Source organism: Homo sapiens, chromosome 1, assembly GCF_000001405.40.
Source record: "Homo sapiens chromosome 1, GRCh38.p14 Primary Assembly".
Taxonomy (NCBI): domain Eukaryota; kingdom Metazoa; phylum Chordata; class Mammalia; order Primates; family Hominidae; genus Homo; species Homo sapiens.
This window is the reverse complement of record NC_000001.11, coordinates 51,352,866-51,374,611: the sequence shown is the minus strand read 5'-3', so window position 1 is coordinate 51,374,611 and position 21,746 is coordinate 51,352,866. Positions and strand designations below refer to the sequence as shown.

Here is a 21,746-nt window from a genome sequence, read left to right as displayed (position 1 = left end):
TGTTTTGGAGACAGAGTTTTGCTCTTGTTGCCTGAGCTGGAGTGCAATGGCGCAATCTCAGCTCACTGCAACCTCCGCCTCCCAGGTTCAAGCGATTCTCCTGCCTCACCCTCCCGAGTAGCTGAGATTACAGGCATCCGCCACCACGCCCGGCTAATTTTTGTATTTTTAGTAAAGACGTTGGCCAGGCTGGTCTCGAAGCCCTGACCTCAGGTGATCCACCCGCCTTAGCCTCCCAAAGTGCTGGGATTACAGGCATGAGCAACCGTACCCGGCAGGATACTTACTTTCTACATGTACTTTATAAAAATTATTTTTCCATTTTATTGTGAGATTAGTTTAAGTGCCAGAAATTTTTTTGTGTGGAATATTTTACTAACTCCTGACAGAAAATGCAGAACTTCCCAACTGTTAATTAAATCTTTATAACATCCTGAGGATATAGAAGGGAGCTCATGATCTCCCTAGAGCATCTTTGACTCCAGCAGGAGTAAAATACCCAGTAGGTTTTCCTTTTTACAGGCAATGACTCAGGCTAAACGTATATGTGTTCATGTATTTACTTAGCCTCTGCTTTCTTTCATATTTCTTCTCTTAATTTTCATCATTTCCAGAAACCACAAGCTGTGACTGTCCTTCAAGTTCACTTAATTTTTTTTGGAGACGGAGTCTTGCTCTGTTCACCCAGGCTGGAGTGCAGTGGTGCAATCTCGGCTCACTGCGACCTCCATCTCCTGGGTTCAAGTGATTCTCCTGCCTCAGCCTCCCAAGTAGCTGAGATTACAGGCGTGCACCACCACGCCTGGCTAATTTTTGTATTTTTAGTAGAGACAGGGTTTCACCATGTTGGCCAGGCTGGTCTCGAACTCCTGACCTCAAGCCATTTAATTGTGTCTTTGAAGGTAAATAATATGTGGAACTGGATCCCAAATCCTGAGAATGCCAGAACTACAGGTCCAAAACATGATGCACTATTCTCAGCAGAGTTCAGAAGGGTCAGAACTCAAGGTGTTATGAGGCAGAGAACACATGAAATTCGTGCATTCCATTTAGCAGCCCCCATGAGACCAGAAATACACCCCAGGAGTCTTTGAAGATGGGGATAATTCAACTCCTGGTTTTATAAATAGAAGAATGAGGAGTACCAAAAATGTTATGTTGAATTCTCTTCATTTTTCTCATACAATCTGAAGCCTGAGCTATCTTATCCTCAACTCATAGCAGCTGATGCTGCAGTTTAGGTTTGAGATCAGTCCCTCTATCCATTCAAGAGTGACCCGAGGCATAGAGCTCTAATCAGGACAGCTTTTTAACAAGAACCTTCTAGTGACATACTGGTTTAGTTTATAAGATTTTAATTTACAAATTTAAAAAGCTGCATCTTTAACTTTTTCTCCTTTTTCTTTTCTTTCTTCACATCACTCTTTTCCTTATCTATATCTTACTCTTTGTCATCTTTTCTATCCTTTTTGCTCCCTTCTGTTTCCTGCCCTTCTTTCTTCTCTACATCCTGATTGGCAATCTTGTTGTTGATGAAGTTGTGTAGGGCAACTATGGAATGTGTCAGGGAGGCAGAGTACCCCACTGCCATTTGGTCGTTGATCTTCAGGTACAAGGCCTTGACAGACTGCTGCAGGCTGATGTCTGGCAGCAGATTGAAGACTTCCTGCAGCTAATGATCTGGTGGTTGATTGGCAGCTTGCCTGTGGCTGTTTTTTCCAGGTAGCTCCTGATATCCAGAAGCTTGGAGTTCAGCCTCCTCAAACCATGGACCTCTTTGTGATCAGCTGGTAAAGACTGTCCACTGTAGCATCTTTGATGTCTTGTAACAAGTGTTCAGCTCCAGCTGCCTCAGCTTCCTCTGCTCCAGTTTCATTAGCCACATGCTCAAATGTTTTTGAGGTTGGAGCACCATCATCATGGACTTCTCTCACTGAAATATATGCTTCTGTGGGCAGCCCCAGATCCTTTAGTTTCAGTCAGTAATACCAATACTGAGTTAGGTTAGTGTCTTTTCTTGAGTTCATTGATGGCAATGTTACTCTTGTGTAGTTTAGGGCCTGTGTGGTACCACCCAACTATTCTTTGGCATTAATTTTCTTAAACATTCCATACATGTTTTCCAAATAATCATGGTCTAAAAACCAGACAGAATGATTTTTGTCATCTTCATCAAAAGGGACTCCAGAACTGTTGGATACATCAAGTACTTTTGTCTGCCATGACCCCAAAAGCACACCAACAATGCACTGCTGGTTTCCAACCTTGCTGATTCGGTTGAAATGATCCACCACACTGAGCAGCACCGGAAGGTGGACCACTGCCTTCTGCACTGCCAGCTCTGACATCTTGACACACACCGCCCACTAGGCCTAGCTCCCTGCAACCCACAAACTCCAGCAGTAGCAGCAACTCCTGTGAAGACTACTTAATTTTTTAATGAAAAAAATGTGTGTGCATGGGCAGGTATGAATTTATGTATAGTCATGCATTGCTTAATGATGGGAAAATGTGAGAAATGTGTGGTTAGGGGAACATCAGAAAGTGTACTGACACAACCTGGATGGTGTAGCTTACTACACAACCTAGGCTATTCGTCATATAGCCTATTGCTCCTAGGCTTCAAACTTGTACAGCCTTGAATACTATACTGAATACTGTAGGCAGTTGTAACGCAATGGTAAGTATTTATGTATCTAAACATAGAGTAAAAATTCAGTATAGAAAATAGAAATGGTACATCTGTATAGGACACTTAACCATGAACGGAGCTTGCGGGGCTGGAAGTTGCTCTGGGTGAGTCAGTGAGTCAAGTAATAGTGAATGTGAAGGCCCAAGACATCACTGTACATTGTTGTAAACTTTATAAACACTGTACACTTGCACTACACTAAATTTATAAAAAACATTTTTCTTCAATAATAAATTAACCTTATCTTACTGTAACTTTTTAACTTTCTAAAACTTTAAAAAATTTTTGAACTTTTTGACTCTTGTAATAAACCTTTAGTTTAAAACACTATACAGCTGTACAAAAATATTTTCTTTCTGTATATCTAAACTTTGCCTACTTTTAAATTTTTTTTTTCTTTTTTTTTTTAACTTTTAAACTTTTTTCTTAAATGTAAGATGCAAAAGAGAAAAAAGGAAAAAAAATTAATACACAAACAAACATGAGCCTAGGCCTGCACGGGGTCAGGACCATCAATATCACTGTCTTCCACCTCCACATCTTGTCCCCCTGGAAGGTCTTTGGGGGCAGTCAAACACATGAAGCTGTCATCTCTTACGATAACAATGCCTTCTTCTGGTATATCTCCTGAAGGACCTGCCTGAGGCTCTTTTTCAATTAACTTATTTGTTGTATATGTAGAAGGTGAACACTAAAATAACGATTGGCCAGGCACAGTGGCTCACACCTGTAATCCCAGCACTTTGAGAGGCCACGGTGGGTGGATTGAGGTTGGGAGTTCGAGACCAGCCTGGCCAACATGGTGAAACTCAATCTCTACTAAAAAATACAAAAAAAATTAGCTGGGTGTGGTGGCATACACCTGTAATGCAAGCTACTCGGAGGCTGAGGCACAAGAATCGCTTTAACCCGGGAGGTGGAAGTTGCAGTGAGATGAGATCGCACGACCGCACTCCAGCCTGGGCAACAGAGCAAGATTCCATCTCAAAAAAACCAAAATAGGGTGGGCATGGTGGCTTATGCCTGTAATCCCAGCACTTTGGAAGGCTGAGGTGGGTGGATCACCTGAGGTCAGGAGTTCGAGACCAGCCTGGCCAACAGCGAAACCCTATCTCTACTAAAAGTGCAAAAATTAGCCAGGCATGGTGGTACGTGCCTATAATCTTAGCTACTCAGGAGGCTGAGGCAGGAGAATTGCTTGAACCCAAGAGGCGGAGGTTTCGGTGAGCTGAGGTTATGCCACTGCACTCCAGCCTGGGCTACAGAGTGAGACTCTGTCTTTAAAAAAAAAAAAACAGCCTAACAAACAAAATAATAATAAAATAACGATTAAAAACTATAGTATAGTAAATATGTAAACCAGTAACATAGTTGTTTATTATTATTATCAAATACGGGTTGAGCATCCAAGGTCTGAAAAATCTAAAATTTGAAAATCTAAACCTTTTTGAGCACTGATATGATGCTCCAAGGAAATGCTTATTGGAGCATTTTTGGTTTCAGGATTTTTGGATTTGGAGTACTCAACTTATAAGCATATACAGTGCAAATATTCCAAAATCTGCAAAAATCTGAAATCCAAAACACTCCTTCTCCCAAGCATTTCAGATAAGGGATACTCAGCCTGCATTGTGTACTCCACATAATCGTGTGTGCTATACTTTGATACGACTGGCAACACAGTAGGTTTGTTTACACCAACATCACCACAAACACATGAGTAATGCATTGGACTATGGATATTATGATGGCTATGAAGTCATTAGGTGATAGGAATTTTTTAGCCCAATTATAATCTTACTGGGCCACCATCATATATGTAGCCTGTTGTTGACCAAACATTGTTATGTGGCATATGTCAAGATTTCTGGTAGATAGCTGTTTTTCAGGGAATTATTTGTGAGCCTTAAAATTGGTTTCCCTTATTCCTTGTTATTCATCTGGTTATGCTAAGAAATGTTATATTTGTTTGGACGATTCTTAATAGACAGTTTCTGTCCCTTTTTTCTTTGCATATTTTCAACAAATATGAGCATCTCCTAGTTTCCAGACCTTGTGCTAGGCCTTGAGGATACAGCTGTGAACAAAACAAAGTTCCTGTCTTCATAGAGTTTGTATAAGAAAGATAGGCAATGAACAAATATATGTCAAATACTGATGAGTACTGTGATTAAATCAGGGTAAGGGATAAAAAGTGATATACCTAAAATGTAGCTTTTTCATGTACACCTTCACAAAAAACCGTATCAGCATAGCATGATCTCAAATATGTAAGAAAAAAATACCAGGAATAAAGGCTGTTAAAGAAGTATGCTGAAATATTCATAAGGGTTATTTCTGATAGTGAGATTTAGGGATGATTTTTAAATTATACTTTTATATATTTTTCCAAAGCATTCATTACCTTTATTCTTTGGGGAAAGGCGGTACTAATGAGGTCATAAGTGCAGCTAAAGCCCAGTTCTGCTGGCTCATAGCCCCTGTGTACACCAAGAGGAAGAAAGTCACCTGCATGGTTTCTCTAAAAGTGTTTCTGGAACTCCCCCCAGCAGGTATCTTACGCGTGATCTGAACAAGTTGAACTCATTGAGTCCTGCTTTCTGAACGGGCCTCTGCCTCAAATCAACCATGATCAGTATCTGAGAAAGTTATTTGTCATTCATCTAAGATTTGTCTTTCTGCAGTGTTTAGACTAGTGCTAAATAGGTCATTTATGAGGAAAGTGTAGAAAAACTCTTTAGTAAGGTACTATATATTCTTCATATAGAAGTGTCCTTTTTAAAATTAATTTTGTTCACAATATATGCTTCACAATATTCCAGTCAAATCTGACCTAACTGAGGCTATTGCACACATGTTGTGACTTGTAAAGGCTGTGGGACAGGACAGAGAAAAGGCATGAAGCAAATTTTCAGTCCCACAAGTGAAATGAGCCCAACTCTTTTTCCCTTGTCAGCAGTCAGGGAGAGCATCTTCACCCCACTCAGGCTGTGCCTTAGCTACCTCAGCATCAGAAATAACAGGAGCCGGGCACGTGGCCTATAATCCCAGCACTTTGGGAGGCTTAGGCCGGCAGATTGCTTGAGGTCAGAGGTTTGAGACCAGCCTGGCCAACATAGTGAAACCCCGTCTCTACTAAAAATACAAAGAAAGAATTAGCCAGGTGTGGTGGCACACACCTGTATTCCCAGCTACGTGGGAGGCTGAGGCACGAGAATCACTTGAATCTGGGAGGCAGAGGTTGCAGTGAGCCGAGATCGTGCCACTGCACTCCAGCCTGGGTGACACAGGCGAGACTCCATCTCCAAAAAAAAAAAAAAAGAAACAAAAAAGAAAAATAACAGGAAAAGGACAGAAAGAAGGGAAACCCTGAAACTACCTATGATGAGGCTGGGCCCTAGGCTGAGGATTCAGCAGATATGTATCAATGAAAAGGCCATCTTTTATAGCTAGAATTATAGGATTTCCTATAACCCTGAACTTCCAACATCCTCTTCAGGATCAGAGTTGCTGGTATATCCCTAAAGGCCTGATTTCTCTATGCTTCCACCCACTCCTTTTTCCCACTTGGGCTACCCTTTGCCTACAGCTGTCTTGGTGACGAAATGTTTGGTGACAAAGCAAACAAAAATAGTGTATCTTCTTTGCTCCTCTTTTTATGTCCAAGATATACTCATTTTTAGAGATACGGGCACACTTTACACATTCAAATGGGCGGATAGGCACACTTTTGTTCTAAGAATAGTTTGAGGATAACTTTTCTTTTTTTATTTTATTTTATTTTTTTTGAGACGGAGTCTTGCTCTGTCGCCCAGGCTGGAGTGCAGTGGCGCAATCTCAGCTTACTGCAGCCTCCACCTTCCAGGTTCAAGTGATTCTCCTGCCTCAGCCTCCTGAGTAGCTGAGATTACAGGCGTGTGCCACCATGCCCGTCTAATTTTTGTATTTTTAGTAGAGACGGGGTTTCACCGTGTTGGCCAGGCTGGTCTCAAACTCCTGACCTCAGGTGATCTGCCCGCCTCGGCCTCCCAAAGTGCCGGGATTACAGGCGTGAGCCACTGTGCCCGGCCTGAGGAGAACTTTTCTGTGCCTCTTTGTCTTGCCTTCTCTTTTGCAGTTCTTTCCTTGCCTTCCTTTCCAACTGTTTGCTTTGTTTCTTTCCATCTTCCTGTATCAGGCAGCAATTCCTATAAACATTCTTTGACGTTATTGGTAGCCCTTACACCTGAATGGGTGAAGCCTATCTCAGAGTAGATCATTCATTCCAGCTGAAAATGTTAGTCTGCTTGGTAAGTGCAATGTGATGGAAGAAACAACTTCTCAGGCCTGTGAAACATTGATTAAATATACTTTGTTTGTTTGTTTGTTGGAGACAGACACGCTCTGTCGCCCAGGCTGGAGTGCAGTGTCATGATCTCAGCTCACTGCAACCTCCGCCTCCTGGGTTCAAGCGATTCTCCTGCCTCAGCTTCCCAAGCAGCTGATATTACAGGCACGCACCACCACGCCCAGCTAATTTTTTGTATTTTTAGTAGAGAGAGGGTTTCGCTGTGTTGGCCAGGCTGGTCTCGAAATCCTGGCCTCAAGTGATCTGCCCACCTATGTTTCCCAAAGTGCTGGGATTACAGGCGTGAGCCACTGCACCTGGCCTGTTAAATATACTTTTGTAGTTACTGTTCCTTCTGCCTGGTAGCCTGGTTTCTCTTCCCCGTGTTTATCTATTTGGTAAACTCCATTTCTTACTCAAAAGATTTTATTTAAAAGCTGAATGTAATGGCTTCTTTGCTCCGTTTCCAGATTCACCCAGGCAGTTAGTGACTCCCACTACAGGTTTTTCATACCTCTTTCATAACCCATATAAGACTGTTTTATTATTATTTGTTTACATATCTTTTACTAGACTGAACTTTTTCAAGGGTAGAAATTTGTATCATTTTATTTTCTCAGACTTGGTATATGGTCAACAAATGTTTGTTGACTGTCCATTCTTTGGATAGGACTTATTGCCTGTTTTCAAGGACCTTACCATCTAATAAAGGTGATCAATTACAGGTAACCATGGTACAAACTAGAATGCCATTAGTGCCGCAGAGAAGGAAAAAATTACTTCTTGCTGTGGGAAGTAGTGACACCTAAGTTACTCCAGGGTTTGTTGATGAGGTAGCATTTGAAATATGTCTTGAAGGATGAGTGTGAAATGTGGCATTAATGGTATTATATTAGCTTTTTGTACTTCTTGATGTCTTTATTAGCAGTGATTTAAGTTCATAGGAGCTATATTATTTGAAATGTGTTCCAAAGCCTTACCTATAAATCATCTAGTTGTTCCTTTACCTGTACTTTACCTATAAATCATTACTTTATTTGCTATTACTTTACCTATAAATCATTCATCAGTTGATTTATACAAAGGAATACATCTTGTGGGGTTATCAGTATACAGTCTGTCTTTGTGGGTGTCAGTCATAAATTCAGGAATTAATATTTGAGATTGTATGTTTTCAACTGTCTGAATGTGATTAACCAAAAGAAAACATGAAATTTGATGCCTTGGCTGGGTTTGGTGGCTCATGCCTATAATTCCAGCACTCTGGGAGGCTGAGGCAGGAGGATCACTTGAACCCAGGAGTTTGGGATCAGCCTGGACAACATGGCAAAACCCCATATCTACAAAAAACACAAAAATTAGTCAGGCATGGTGGTGCATACCCGTAGTCCCAGCTACTCAGGAGGCTGAGGTGGGAGGATCACTTGAGCCTGGGAGATTGAGGCTGCAGTGAGCCATGATCGTACCACTGCTCTTGAGGCTGGGTGGACAGAGTGAGACTCTGTCTCAAAAAAAAAAAATGTCTTACTGTCCTGTTTCATTTATTTTCTTTATTCATTTTAGCCACAGACCCCTTTGCTTCTGTTTTTGGGAATGAATCATTTGGAGGTGGATTTGCTGACTTCAGCACATTGTCAAAGGTAATCTACAGTAATTAATGGGAAGGGAAAACATACTGTGTTTCCACCAAAAGAACAATCCTCCTTTCAATTATATAGTCCTCTCACAAAGTTGCAACTTGATTTCAGTAAATCACAGCAAATGTTGATTTCAGATAGAAATGAAAGATAACATATAGTTAAAGTAGACATATTTCTTTATATAACTAGACTGTATTGATGGTAGAGGTAATTATAATTTTCTGTTGGCATGTTTGCTTAACAACTTCATATTTAGTCTTCTGTCTTTTTAAACATGTTTCTCCCAATTGAACCACATTTTCCCCCTGTTGACTGTCTGGGTCAATAGGTGTAAAATCTGGGTTTTTATTTCGTCCTCTCTGTATTGGTTACTTGATTTTATGTTCTGAGGTTGTTAGGGCCAGTATTAAGGTAATTAATACACAAAGTCCAGTACTAAATGTCCACTATTTACTTTCCACTGTGGCTGTGATATTGATTCGGGCTAAGAGAAAAGGAGGATTAGATTGTTGGTTCCTTGGTTCTCAACTGAGGGTTATTTTGCCACCAGAGGAACATTTGGCAATGTCTAGAGACCTTTTTGGTTTTCACAATTGAATAGGAGATGCTACTTACATCTAGTGGATAGAGATGAGGGATGCTATTTAATACAGTCCACTCTCTAGCCCCCCACAATATGCAATTACGTCCAGCCTGAAATGTCAATGTTGAGCATTACCTAAATAAATGTAAAATTGTGAAGTCTGATTCATTATAGAAAAGTTAATCTTTTGTTACATATTTGAAAGGGTCTTCAGACACACATTAAGATTTATCATTCCAGCCAGGCGCGGTGGCTCATGCCTGTTATCCCAGCACTTTGAGAGGCCAAGGCAGGTGGATTGTCTGAGCTCAGGAGTTCAAGACCAGCCTGGGCAATGTGGTGAAACCTCGTCTTGACCAAAAAACACAAAAAATTGGTCAGGCATGCCGGCACGCACCTGTAATCCCAGCTGCTCAGGAGGCTGAGGCGGGAGGATCACATGAGCCCAAGAGGCAGAGGTTGCAGTGAGCCTAGATTGCGCCACTGTACTCCAACCTTAGAGTGAGACCTTGTCTCAAAAAAAAAAATTATCCTTTTATGGGATCAGTTTGCTTCAAAAAATTGACTTTCAGGCTGGGTGCAGTAACTCAAGCCTGTAATCCCAGCATCTTGGGAGGCTGAGATGGGAGGATTGCTTGAGCCCAGGAGTTCGAGACCAGCCTGGGCAACATAACGAAACTCCATCTCTACAAAATAAAAATTAAAAAAATAACTAGGCGTGGTGGTACACACCTGTAGTCCTAGCTATTCGAGAGGCTGAGGCAGGAGGATCCCTAGAGCCCAGGGGTTCAAGGCTGCAGTGAGCTATGATTGTGCCACTGCTCTCCAGCTTGGGAGACTCCTGCCTTTTAAATTAAAAAAAAAAAAAATTGACTTTCAAGTTGTCCTTATAGTTTGTCAAGATGCCATTTTCCTTGCATTAGTATTAAATCTTATATTTAAGTTCATTAGGACGTATGGAATCCATTTTTTTTCCTTTGATTACCATTTAGATCAGATATTCGTTTGCGGAAAGGCATACAGTCCCTTTAAAATGGGCCTCAGGTGGTTTTTGCATTGAATATTTCCTGAAGCTTGACAAACCTTTAATCTAGATTGAGCTGTTTTTGGTTTGATCTGTTAATCTTAATAAGTAATGATGTTAGAATCACTCCTCATATAGAATAACTTTTTTTTCAGAAATTTCTCCCATTGGACCCTGAATGCAAAGGTTAAAATTTCAGTGTTCTCAGAATTAAAATAAATAAAACTGTATAATACTGAAATCATTATTCTGAATGCTACATGACTACCACAATTTGCTTGGTATAGCCATGTATAACCATTTCTTTTTAAACAAAGGTCAACAATGAAGATCCTTTTCGTTCAGCCACATCGAGCTCTGTCAGCAACGTAGTGATTACAAAAAATGTATTTGAGGAAACATCGGTCAAAAGTGAAGATGAACCCCCAGCACTGCCACCAAAGATCGGAACTCCAACAAGACCCTGCCCTCTACCACCTGGTATGAGAGTTGGTACTTTTCTTCAGTCAACTGCATGGCTTTTCTCTTTCTGAAAAGTATTGTGCGGAACTTACTTATATAAATGGCTTTAAGTGAAACAAGTCAAACATATGTCAGAAGCCTGCTGCTGTCATTCATTCTGACCTAACTGCTGAATTACAGACATGCACTTAAGAAGTCAGCATGTATAAATTTCATGAGCTGTCTTTCTGCTAAGACCTTTTTTCTTTTCTTTTTTTTAACTTAATCATTTCAGAGAGGCAATCAATGGAAAAGGGAAAGTGTCAAGAAAATCTTTTTGCCTTTTGGAAACTCATTGATTATCCATTTGAATAGCAGTTTCCTGTACTTTGGTGTTTTAATTATAATTTATTTAAGAGAAGATTGTTTCAAAGTCCTTTTCCTGTAAAGTATAAAGTCTTCCTTAAATCCTTTAATGTGAGAATATATGGCCTCTTTAGTATCCAGAATTCAGCAATACAGTGATTTGAAACAAAGTATTGGTTTTCTTGAAGGAAAATGGTATTTTAGCTAACTTAAAATATTCCTCTTTTTTTTTTTTTTTTTTGAGATGGAATCTCGCTCTGTTGCCCAGGCTGGAGTACAGTGGCATGATCTCAGCTCACTGTAACCTCAGCCTCCCGGATTCAAGGGATTCTCCTGCCTCAGCCTCCCGAGTAGTTGGGATTATAGGCATGATCCACCATGCCTGGCTAATTTTTGTATTTTTAGCAGAGATGGGGTTTCACCATGTTGGCCACGCTGGTCTCTACCTCCTGACCTCAAGTGATCTGTCCACCTCGGCCTCCCAAAGTGCTGGGATTACAGGTGTGAGCCACTGCACCTGGCCAAGACTCTTTTCTAATAGTGATTTGTTTCTTATTTTTGTTTGTTTCTATGTATAATTAGTATGTGTGTGTATGTATATGTTTAGCACTATACAAAGGAAAGTTTGTTTTGTTTTTAGGTCATAATAAGTGGCTAAAAGGATAATTCCTTGAGTAGTTGTAGTGCTGTTGGGGTATTATGTGAGAAGACACATCTTAGTATATTTTTTTTTAAATCATACCTCATTCCTTGGGAAATTTTCAGTCTCAGTAGTTACAGATTAATATTGCCTTTTCATCATAACCTTTCCATGGTCTTGAGCAGATAGGTTTTTTTTCTTTGACTGAAAGAATTGCATGTACAATTGTAAATATCCGATAATCTGTTGAAAAATCAGGTAAATGAGTTAAGTGATTCCTTCTAAGGAAAGGTAGCTTATGTCATATATTTCTAGAAGTGAGGTTATCAGAATATATTTAAAAATAAATAATGGTTAATTTGCACATTTAAGTTTTTACAACTTGCATGATGCCAATAGTGAGGTTGTTTTTTTAAATCTTAAGTAAAATAATATGCTAGTGTTTTTGCTCAATCTAAGAATCTTCATCCAAGTAATTGTATATCATTGTAAAAAGATTAAGGAAAAGACTGGTTTGTTGGAAAGAGCACTAAACTGGGAGTCTAAATATCTGGGTTCTGTTTCTGGATGTTCCCTGACTAACTATGATCTTAAGTGTATAATTTCATATATCTGACCCTTGGCTATTAAATGTTGGCAGTAATTCTAATTTTGCCTACTTTCACAGGATTATTGGAAGAATCCATTGAGATATGAGCATCTTTTCTAAGCAGCTACAGTGATGGAATCTGTTGTTATGATTGCTATTACCAGCTTATGCATTTTAGGAAAAAAATATATTTGGAGATATTTTGACCCCTATTTTTATTATCTTTTCTTCAAGAAGTACTAAGTTTAAGTAAGACTTAGAGAACTTGTTTGAAAATGGTAATGAATTAGTGAGTGACTAATAGGACAGAATACTATTGTTTGGTCAGAGATTATTTGATCAGCAACCGCAAAGATTTAGGCCCTGGGCTTCAAAACATTTTTTCTTCATTTTGAAATACAGTAAATAACAAAAAATTGGCAGCATTTTACTACGGTAATTTAAAAATTTTATGCTCTTAGGTATTGTATGTAGAACTAGAGAAAAATCAGAAGAATTTTCCCAGTTTTCAGAGGTCATTTGCTCTTACTGCCACTAGTGGATAACTGTTATCAGGCTGAGGGCTGTAACAGCAGAGGCAGGCCATTTCTGTCTTTATTCTTTATTATTCTCCTTCTGTTTAATCCATTCGTCTCTCCTTTTGGGAACATGCTGCTTGGGTGTGGCTAGGGGATGGTGGGATTCAGTCTTTGGACAAAAATATGATTCCTGGCCCATCCTTACTTTGCTATTTGTTTCATTAGCTGCACATAGCTGGAATCTATTTGAGAGATCATGTGTGAAGAATTTGAGGACAAATTGTTGGTGTAGCTATTTAAGACAATATTCAGAATGTGTTTTAGGTACTCAATCATCCTCTACCCACAGTACTTTAATGCTATCTGTGTACATGTTCTTGTGTGCTTGTATTTGCTGTATTTACTGGTTGAATTAATTGTAATGATTTTGATCCAGGGAAAAGATCCATCAACAAATTGGATTCTCCTGATCCCTTTAAACTGAATGATCCATTTCAGCCTTTCCCAGGCAACGATAGCCCCAAAGAAAAAGATCCTGAAATATTTTGTGATCCATTCACTTCTGCTACTACCACTACCAATAAAGAGGCTGATCCAAGCAATTTTGCCAACTTCAGTGCTGTAAGTACTGTGAATGAGCTGTTTGGGGGAGAAATCTTTAAAGAGTTTTCAGAGATTATTTTGGAGTCTGCCAAGTTTGCATCATTTTAACTAAATTTACCAAGATACTAAAAATGATCTTTCATTCTTCCCCCAAGCAAAACCTCTGTTTGATCCTGTTTTGACAGTTCTACGGTTGTTCCATCGCACAGATGATTTTAGTAGTCCCAGTTCTTGTCATATACACAAGTTGTTTTGTAAATCTTTCTCTTAGTCTTGGTAATGTAAGTAAAATCCTAACAGTTATTATTTTGTGGATGGTTATGGGTGATGGTGATTTAATGAACAATTACAGAGTCATTGCTCTCTGCCCACTAGATGAATAATGCCAGTAATAAGTTTGTGTATTTGCAGCTGTGTATGTGTGTTTGTGTATAAAGTTTTAATGATTTCTGGAGACCAGTCAGCAAATATTATATGAGAGGATAGAGCCAGAGATTCTTTGAATAGAAAGTAAAACTATTAAACTTACACAGTAGCTTTTTAAAAATGTAAATGCCAGTTTTATGAAATAAATAAATAAATGGTTGTCAGGATTTAAACAATCTTTATTTGGAGGGCCCTAATTCACTAACTTCTCATGTTTACTCTGCGTTCTTTCAGAGATGTCTAAAATAGGAAGATCGTTAGAAACAGTGGAAGGGTGCCATGATAACAGCATAAGCAGGGCCTATAAAATCACAGAAATGGGGCAACCAACCATGGAGGTATCAGTCTAGAGAGACATAAAGCAATGTCATATATTCCATCATTATTCAGTAAAAAAAGTTATTTTTTAATAAAATTCTTAGACCGGGTAACAAATTTTCAGTTTCACAGTTTTTTCAGGCAAAATAACCTTCGTTATCATTGCCTGTTCTATAAAACAGAGATTTTCTTCTATTTATCACCTTATGCCCTTGAGATGATTTTGGAAATAGATCTAGTGGCCAGGTAACTCTGCCTAATATTTCCCTCCTCAGTGTAGCATTGGGCCATTCAACCAATTGCTTTATTCCTGCAGCTGTTTCTAGTTAGAAGGGAGGTAGTCAAGAATCTGCATGCAGGCCGGGCGTGGTGGCTCACGCCTGTAATCTCAGCATTTTAAGAGGCCAAAGTGCTTTAAGCACCTGTAGTCCCAGCTACTTGGGGGGCTGAGGTGGTGGAGGTTGCAGTGAGCTGTGATCATGCCACTGTACTTCAGCCTGGGTGACAGAGCCAGACCCTGTCTCCAAAAAAAAAAAGAATCTGCATGCAACTAAGACGACTGAGCTCCCAGCTTTTGAATCTGTACTCTAAGTTCTGGTGGCTTCTCTTGACTATGAAGGAGCAAAATAGGAATCAATATTTTGAATATTGTAAAAATGGAGTGCCAGAATTATACTGATTTTTTTTTTTTTTTGAGATGAGTTTTGCTCTTATTGCCCAGGCTGGAGGCGCGATCTTGGCTCACCACAACCTTCACCTCCCAGGTTCAAGCAATTCTCCTGCCTCAGCCTCCCGAGTAGCTGGGATTGCAGGCATACCCACCACACCTGGCTAATTTTGTATTTTTAGTAGAGACGGGGTTTCTCCATGTTGGTCAGGCTGGTCTTGTACTCCTGATCTCAGGCGATCCACCGGCCTCAGCCTCTCAAAGTGTTGGGATTACAGGTGTGAGCCATCGCGCCCAGCCTTACTTAACTTTCCTTTTTTTTTTTTTTTTTTTTAAAGACAGAGTCTTGCTCTGTCGCCAGGCTGGAGTGCAGTGGCGTAATCTCAGCTCACTGCAACCTCCACCTCCCAGGTTCAAGCAATTCTCCTGCCTCAGCCTCCCAAGTAGCTGGGACTACAGGCACGCACCACCACACCTAGCCAATTTTTGTGTTTTTAGTAGAGACGGGGTTTCACCATGTTGGCCGGGATGGTCTCGATCCCTTGATCTTGCAATGTGCATGCCTTGGCCTCCCAAAGTGATGGGATTACAGGGGTGAGCCACCGCATCCAGCCCGACTTAACTTTCATTAGATGGAATTTGATTTGTTTCAAGCAGAGAATCAAAAATTGGCCTTTTTAGAAGGTTATAATTCTCTTAGTGTAAAATAACCCTCTGGTAGTTTGTGGCATTTAATATCTTAAGTATGGTTTTAGCAAGTCAAACTCTTGTTGGGGCCAGACGGGGTGGCTCACACCTGTAATCCCAGCACTTTGGAAGGCCGAAGCGGGCGGATCACTTGAGGTCAGGAGTGTGAGACCAGCCTGGCCAACATGGTGAAACCCCGTCTCTACTAAAAATACAAAAATTAGCCAGGCATGGTGGCGCATGCCTGTAATCCCAGCTAGGGAGGCTGAGGTGGGAGGATCACTTAAGCCCCAGAGGCAGAGGTTGCGGGAGCTGATATAGTGCCACTGTCCTCAAGCTGAGTTACAGAGCGAGACTCCGCCTCAAAAAAAAAAAAAAAAACAAAAAAAAACAAATCTGGTTGGAAGGAGTCTTGAACAACAGCTGAGGCATTTTGCTCCAAAATCTCAATATAGTATAATAAAAAACAGCTTATAATAAGAACATCTTCTTTTTTCATTGTGAAAGATGTGGTTAAGCATTACACGTTTCAAAGTTTTGCTTAATTCCCTAGGGAAAAAAACTACCATTTCAAAAGCCTGACAGTGTATTTTATTTCATCCTTTCATGAAGGATTTTCTATGTAACAAGACTTGAAACCAATTAGAATTTTTAATTTAGTATTTGCCAAGGTTGCTGTTTGGGGTAGATAAAAATATTTCCCCAACATAATAATTATGAGTGTTAAGATTTTATTTAGACTGGTCTAAAAGTTCCCAAAGCCTGGAGAAATCTTCATAATGCTTTTTGTTTTATTTTTATTTTTTTTGGCTCACTCCGTCGATCTGGCTGGAGAGCGGTGGTATGATCACAGCTCACTGCAGCCTCAACTTCCCAGGCTCAGGTGATCCTCCCAGGTAGCTGGAACTACAGATGTGCACCACCACACCTGGCTAATTTTTTTTGTAAAAACAGAGTTTTGCCATGTTGCCAAGATGAACTTCTTGAACTTCTGAGCTCAAGCAATTGGCCCACACCCACAGAACTAGGATTACAGATGTCAGCCACCATGCCTGGCTCAAAATGCTTTTTATAAAATATGATTAGGTTCTTGGGAGGCCGAGATGGGCGGATCACCTGAGGTCAGGAGTTCGAGATCAGCCTAACCAACATGAAGAAACCCTATCTCTACTAAAAATACAGGATTAGCCGGGCGTGGTGGTGCATGCTTGTAATTCCAGCTACTCGGGAGGCTGAGGCAAGAGAATCGCTTGAACCCGGGAGGCGGAGGTTGTGGTGAGCCAAGATTGCTCCATAGCACCCAGCCTGGGCAACAAGAGCGAAAACTCTGTCTCAAAAAAAAAAAAAAAAGATTAGGTTTAAATCACATCTTGCTTAGTATACCCAATACTTTAATATGATGTATAGCAAAATCAGCTTTTTTTTTTTTTTCTTGCTTCTTAGCTTTTTTACACATTAAGGGTTAGGAAACTACCAGTGGGATTAAATTAAAAATGATTTGTTGTGTGAGGGTCTCAGTAAAGTTGAAGTGGTAAATATTTTACATTACATTAGGTCAAAAAGGCTAGCCCTGTCCTGTTTTTAAATCTTCTAATCTACTATAAGCATTTCTACTTTTTTTAGTGAGATATATATATATATATATCACATTTAAAAAAAAAAAATATATATATATATATATATATATATATATATATATTTTTTTTTTTTTTTTCAGATGGAATCTCACTTTGTCACCCAGGCTGGAGTGCAGGGGTGCATTTTCGGCTCACTGCAACCTCTGCCTCCTGGGTTCAAGTGATTCATGTGCCTCACCCTCCCAAGTAGCTGGGATTACAGGCACCACCACCATGCCCAGCTAATTTTTGTATTTTTAGTTGAGAGCGAGTTTTGCCATGTTGGCCAAGCTGGTCTCGAACTCCTGACCTCAGGTGATCCACCTGCCTCAGCCTCCAAAGTGCTGGGATTACAGGCATGAGCCACCACATCTAGCCTAGTGGCATTTTTAACATTTAGTTTTATAGACTTTCTATCTATAGATTGAATTAATTTTTTAAATTAAACTATAGCTTAATAACTGGTTAATATTAAACATGTTTTCAGGGGGAAAAAAAAAAGAATTAACAAGTAACCAGACTATTTCCAGAGTCCTTCAGGTGTCCTTTTGTAAAAACTATTTTTCCTTCTTTTTACTTGCTTTACTCATTTATTTATTCGTTTGTTCATCGATCTTTTAAATGGCAGTATCCCTCTGAAGAAGATATGATCGAATGGGCCAAGAGGGAAAGTGAGAGAGAGGAAGAGCAGAGGCTTGCCCGACTAAATCAGCAGGAACAAGAAGACTTAGAACTGGCTATTGCACTCAGCAAATCTGAGATATCAGAAGCATGAAGAATTCTCTTGTTCTTTGGCAACAATATAGTATTCTTCTTCCTGAATACTGAAACTATTTACAATGTGTATCAAAACTACCTGTGAGCATGGGAATACAAAAGGTTTGAGATTCCTGTAAATGTGACAAAATTTTAGGATTTTTTTTTTTTCTTCATTACAGATTCGTCTTTTTTTTTTTTTCTTATAAAAGCCGTAACCCAGTCAGACAAATTCACCTTCACTTAGGCCCCTGTTCTGGTATACATTTACTGTGAGCTTTTGCCTGCCTGTGCTATTTTACTTGTAAAGCTAGAGCACCCAAGCTTCTGCCTTCTGGAATATAGAGAAATAGTTTCACCCTGCACTACCCTGTTCTGTAGTTATTCTGATGATAGCCAGTGAGGTTCTTAAAGTTTGCAGTATTCTCCCCTGATTGGAATGGTTGAGTGAGGGTAAGGGAAAGAATATCTTATTTCTTTTATGATTGGTGCAAATTGGCTAAAGTGCATTTTTAAATTTCCTCTACTTAATTTGTTTTTCAGAGATAAGGAAAAATATTTTGCACAGATTTACTCCACTATGGAAAAGGGATGCTGTAGGTTGAACCATTATAGCCTCAGATTCGATCTTTTCCTAACTAAAAATATTAAAGCCTCATGTGTGAAATAAATTTTTAAAAAGATTTATCTGGATTTAGAGAATTTTAGATCAACAGATACCTCTCAGTGTGTTTGCTAATTAATAAAAATCAGTTTCTTACAAATAAAGTTTGTAAGAAAATGTTCATTTTAAGTGATAGATAGTGGAGAAAATTTATCACCTAAAATATACCCATCAGTATAAGGCAAGCAAAAGTCTTAACATGGCAGCCATTCTGCCTTTGCCGTGGCCCTGTCCTGTTTAGTTCTTAGTGGGTTAATTTTTGTACTTTTGCAGAAGAAACTTCAGCAAGCTAGAACTGGAAGGTACTTTAATTTTTCATATATATTTGTTTTTTTTTTTTTAATGAAGGCTCATTTACTTGAAATGTAAAAACTTTCACTGAATACAAATAGAAAAAGTGATGTGTTTTATATCATATTGCTTTTTGTCCATCTTTGTGGTTTAGTTTATTTACTCACTTCATGTTTTTCACCTATAAAATTGTCAAGCTAGCAAAAAAACTCTTGTTTTTTTAATTGGGAGAGAAGAGACCTGCCAGATTATCAGACCTCTTCATGTTAAAAGACCATCTCCTGTAAAACTGACCTAGTGGACAAGCTGAATTTGAAATAGACTGTGAAGTAAGCTGTAACTTGTCATTTTAATTTTGTTTAACACGGTTACTGACTTAGATGATGTATTAAATACCAAGATAAAGAAAAATGCACCTAAAATCTAATTAGAATTCTCTGGGTCAACAAGTCAAGGTGGTATTGATCTGTGTTAATCTGAGTAACTTATTGCCTAGCCTATAAATAAATTCCAAAATATCCAATTCATTTCTTCTTGAAATGGTGCTTGTTTTGTTTTCTTTCCATTACACAATTAGACTCCTACAGTTTAAAACAAACTTTAAACCACTATCTTGCACTGCTAACTTTTTTCTACCTTTGTAAATAGAAACATTTCTGCATAAAAGTCATACATATGAAGCAAGGGCTGAATCATAATCACAAGGCTTAATTTTGATAAACGAATCCAGTGACCTAAGGATTTTCTGCAAAATTTGACTGGGAGTTGTGATAGGTGGTATTTTTGTTTATTTTCTTCCTCTTACTCCTTAGGATAAAGGTAAGTTGACTTGAACAACTTTCTTTTGCACTGGGAAAATAAGCAAATGTTTAAATGCTTCAAAAAAATTTTCAATTAAACTCAAATATTAAATATCTATAACTTATAAACACCAACTTTCAATGTAATAAATGTATCCTAATCTTATGTATGTTTAACTGGATTACATAGATTTTTATCTTTTGTTAAAATGTGTATACCCCGTGGACCAACATAATATTAAAGTATGTATATATTATATAAATATATATGTATATGTGCTCGCTTGTGTAGGATGAATGTCTTAGAGTCGTTTGTGGTATTTTATGTTGTTGACTCTGGCTCCAGGGCCTGTGCTTGAAAAGGACAGATAAGTATTGCCCAGAGCTAAGTGGCACTACTTACAAAGTTTTAAATGTCTTCTACATACTGATTCATGTTTATTTGAGCTCTCTTTATAGAATTTTCTCTTAAAGTTTCAAACCTCTAAGTTGTAGCCTGTAATTATGAGAACAGTAAACTTTAAGTAATAATAAAGAATCCCATCCATATATCCAATTTGCAATTGAGTTTTGCATGGTTCTCTGATTATGTCCATGCTGTGTCCAAGGAGGAGTAGGTACATACAATCAGCACAGATTAATATATGTAAAGGGTTTGGGACAGCACCTGGTATAGAATAAATAATAAATGTAAACTATTATTTTTGGTTATCATGTCGTGCTTTTATGAAAGAAATGAAATGTATATGCATAAAGACAGTGCCTAAAACATAAGAATTTGTAGGCAGGACACAGTGGCTCGCGCCTGTAATCCCAGCACTTTGGGAGGCCAAGGTGGGCAGATCACCTGAGGTCAGGAGTTCGAGAACAACCTGGTGAACATGGTGAAACCCCGTCTCTACTAAAAATACGAAAAAATTAGCAGGCATAGTGGCTCGCTCCTGTAGTCCCAGCTACTCGGGAGGCTGAAACAGGAGAATTGCTTGAACCCAGGAGGCAGAGGTTGCAGTGAGCCGAGATCACACTACTGGACTCCAGCCTGGGTGACAGAGTGAGACTCCGTCTCAAAAAGAAAAAAGAATTTGTCACTGGGCACAGTGGCTCATGCCTGTAATCCCAGCACTTTGGGAGGCTGAGGTGGGAGGATCCCTTGAGCCCAGGAGTTTGAGACCAGCCTGGGGCAACATGGTGAGACCCCGTCTCTACAAAAAAAATACAAAAATTAGCCAGGTGCGGTGGTGCGTGTCTGTAGTCCCAGCTACTGGGGGCTGAGGTGGGAGGATCGGTTGAGCCCAGTGAGGCTGCAAGAAGCTGGGATTGTGCCACTGTACTACAACCTAGGCAACAGAGCAAGACCCTGTCTCAAAAAAAAAAAACATTGTGCTTGTAATCCCAGCACTTTGGGAGTTCAAGGTGGGTGGATCTCCTGAGGTCAGGAGTTCAAGACCAACCTGGCCAACATGGTGAAACCCCTGTCTAATAAAAAATACAAAAATTAGCCGGGCATGGTGGTGGGTGCCTGTATTCCCAGCTACTTGGGAGGCTGAGGCAGGAGAATTGCTTGAGCTTGGGAGGTGGAGGTTGCAGTGAGCCAAGACTGTGCCACTGCACCCCAGCCTGGGCAACAGAGTAAGACTCTGTATCAAAAAAAAAAAAATTGTGACATGGACTTTTGGAAGGCACTGTGTTCTGAAAAACTCATACAGTACTGGGACTGAATCTCTTTCTGCCATTTTTGAGGATGTAATGTAAAGATGATTTTGAGAAAGTTATTTCGCCTCCCTGAACCTCATTTTCCTCATGTAATGTACATCACAGTACTTAACTCACAGGATTGTTGTAAAGGATTTAGCTTTGATAACTTTTTATTATTTATTTTAAATAAGCAAATTCAACCACAGTATTACTAATAGTGAAAAGAGCTGTTGGTTGTTGAATGTACATTATATATGAAGCACTCTACTAGGCATTTTATGTGTGTCTTCTTGTTTCTTGTTTAATCTTCACAATACCTCTAAGTAGTAGATATTGTTGTTAGCCCCTGTTTTAGAAATGGAGAAACTGAGTCTCAAAAACCTTAAAATAATGTGCTTCAAAT

General features: G+C 39.4%; 1 protein-coding gene and 1 pseudogene across 8 annotated transcripts in view; one reads left to right on the top strand and one right to left on the bottom strand.

Annotated features, from left to right (window-relative positions):
- The window catches only part of EPS15 (epidermal growth factor receptor pathway substrate 15), a 165,004-nt gene extending 144,655 nt beyond the window's left edge, over positions 1-20,349 (top strand). For all 8 annotated transcript variants that reach the window (XM_017000618.3, NM_001410796.1, XM_017000617.3 and 5 more), the window contains 4 exons: positions 8,583-8,659; positions 10,584-10,746; positions 13,257-13,441; positions 17,766-20,349. In XM_017000618.3, coding sequence (XP_016856107.1) covers positions 8,583-8,659; positions 10,584-10,746; positions 13,257-13,441; positions 17,766-17,912 — 572 coding nt within the window. In that variant the 3' untranslated portion in view covers positions 17,913-20,349. The remainder of the gene's footprint in view (positions 1-8,582; positions 8,660-10,583; positions 10,747-13,256; positions 13,442-17,765) is intronic.
- PSMD7P2 (PSMD7 pseudogene 2) lies at positions 1,212-2,410 on the bottom strand (annotated as a pseudogene).
- Positions 20,350-21,746: the final 1,397 nt, after the last annotated feature.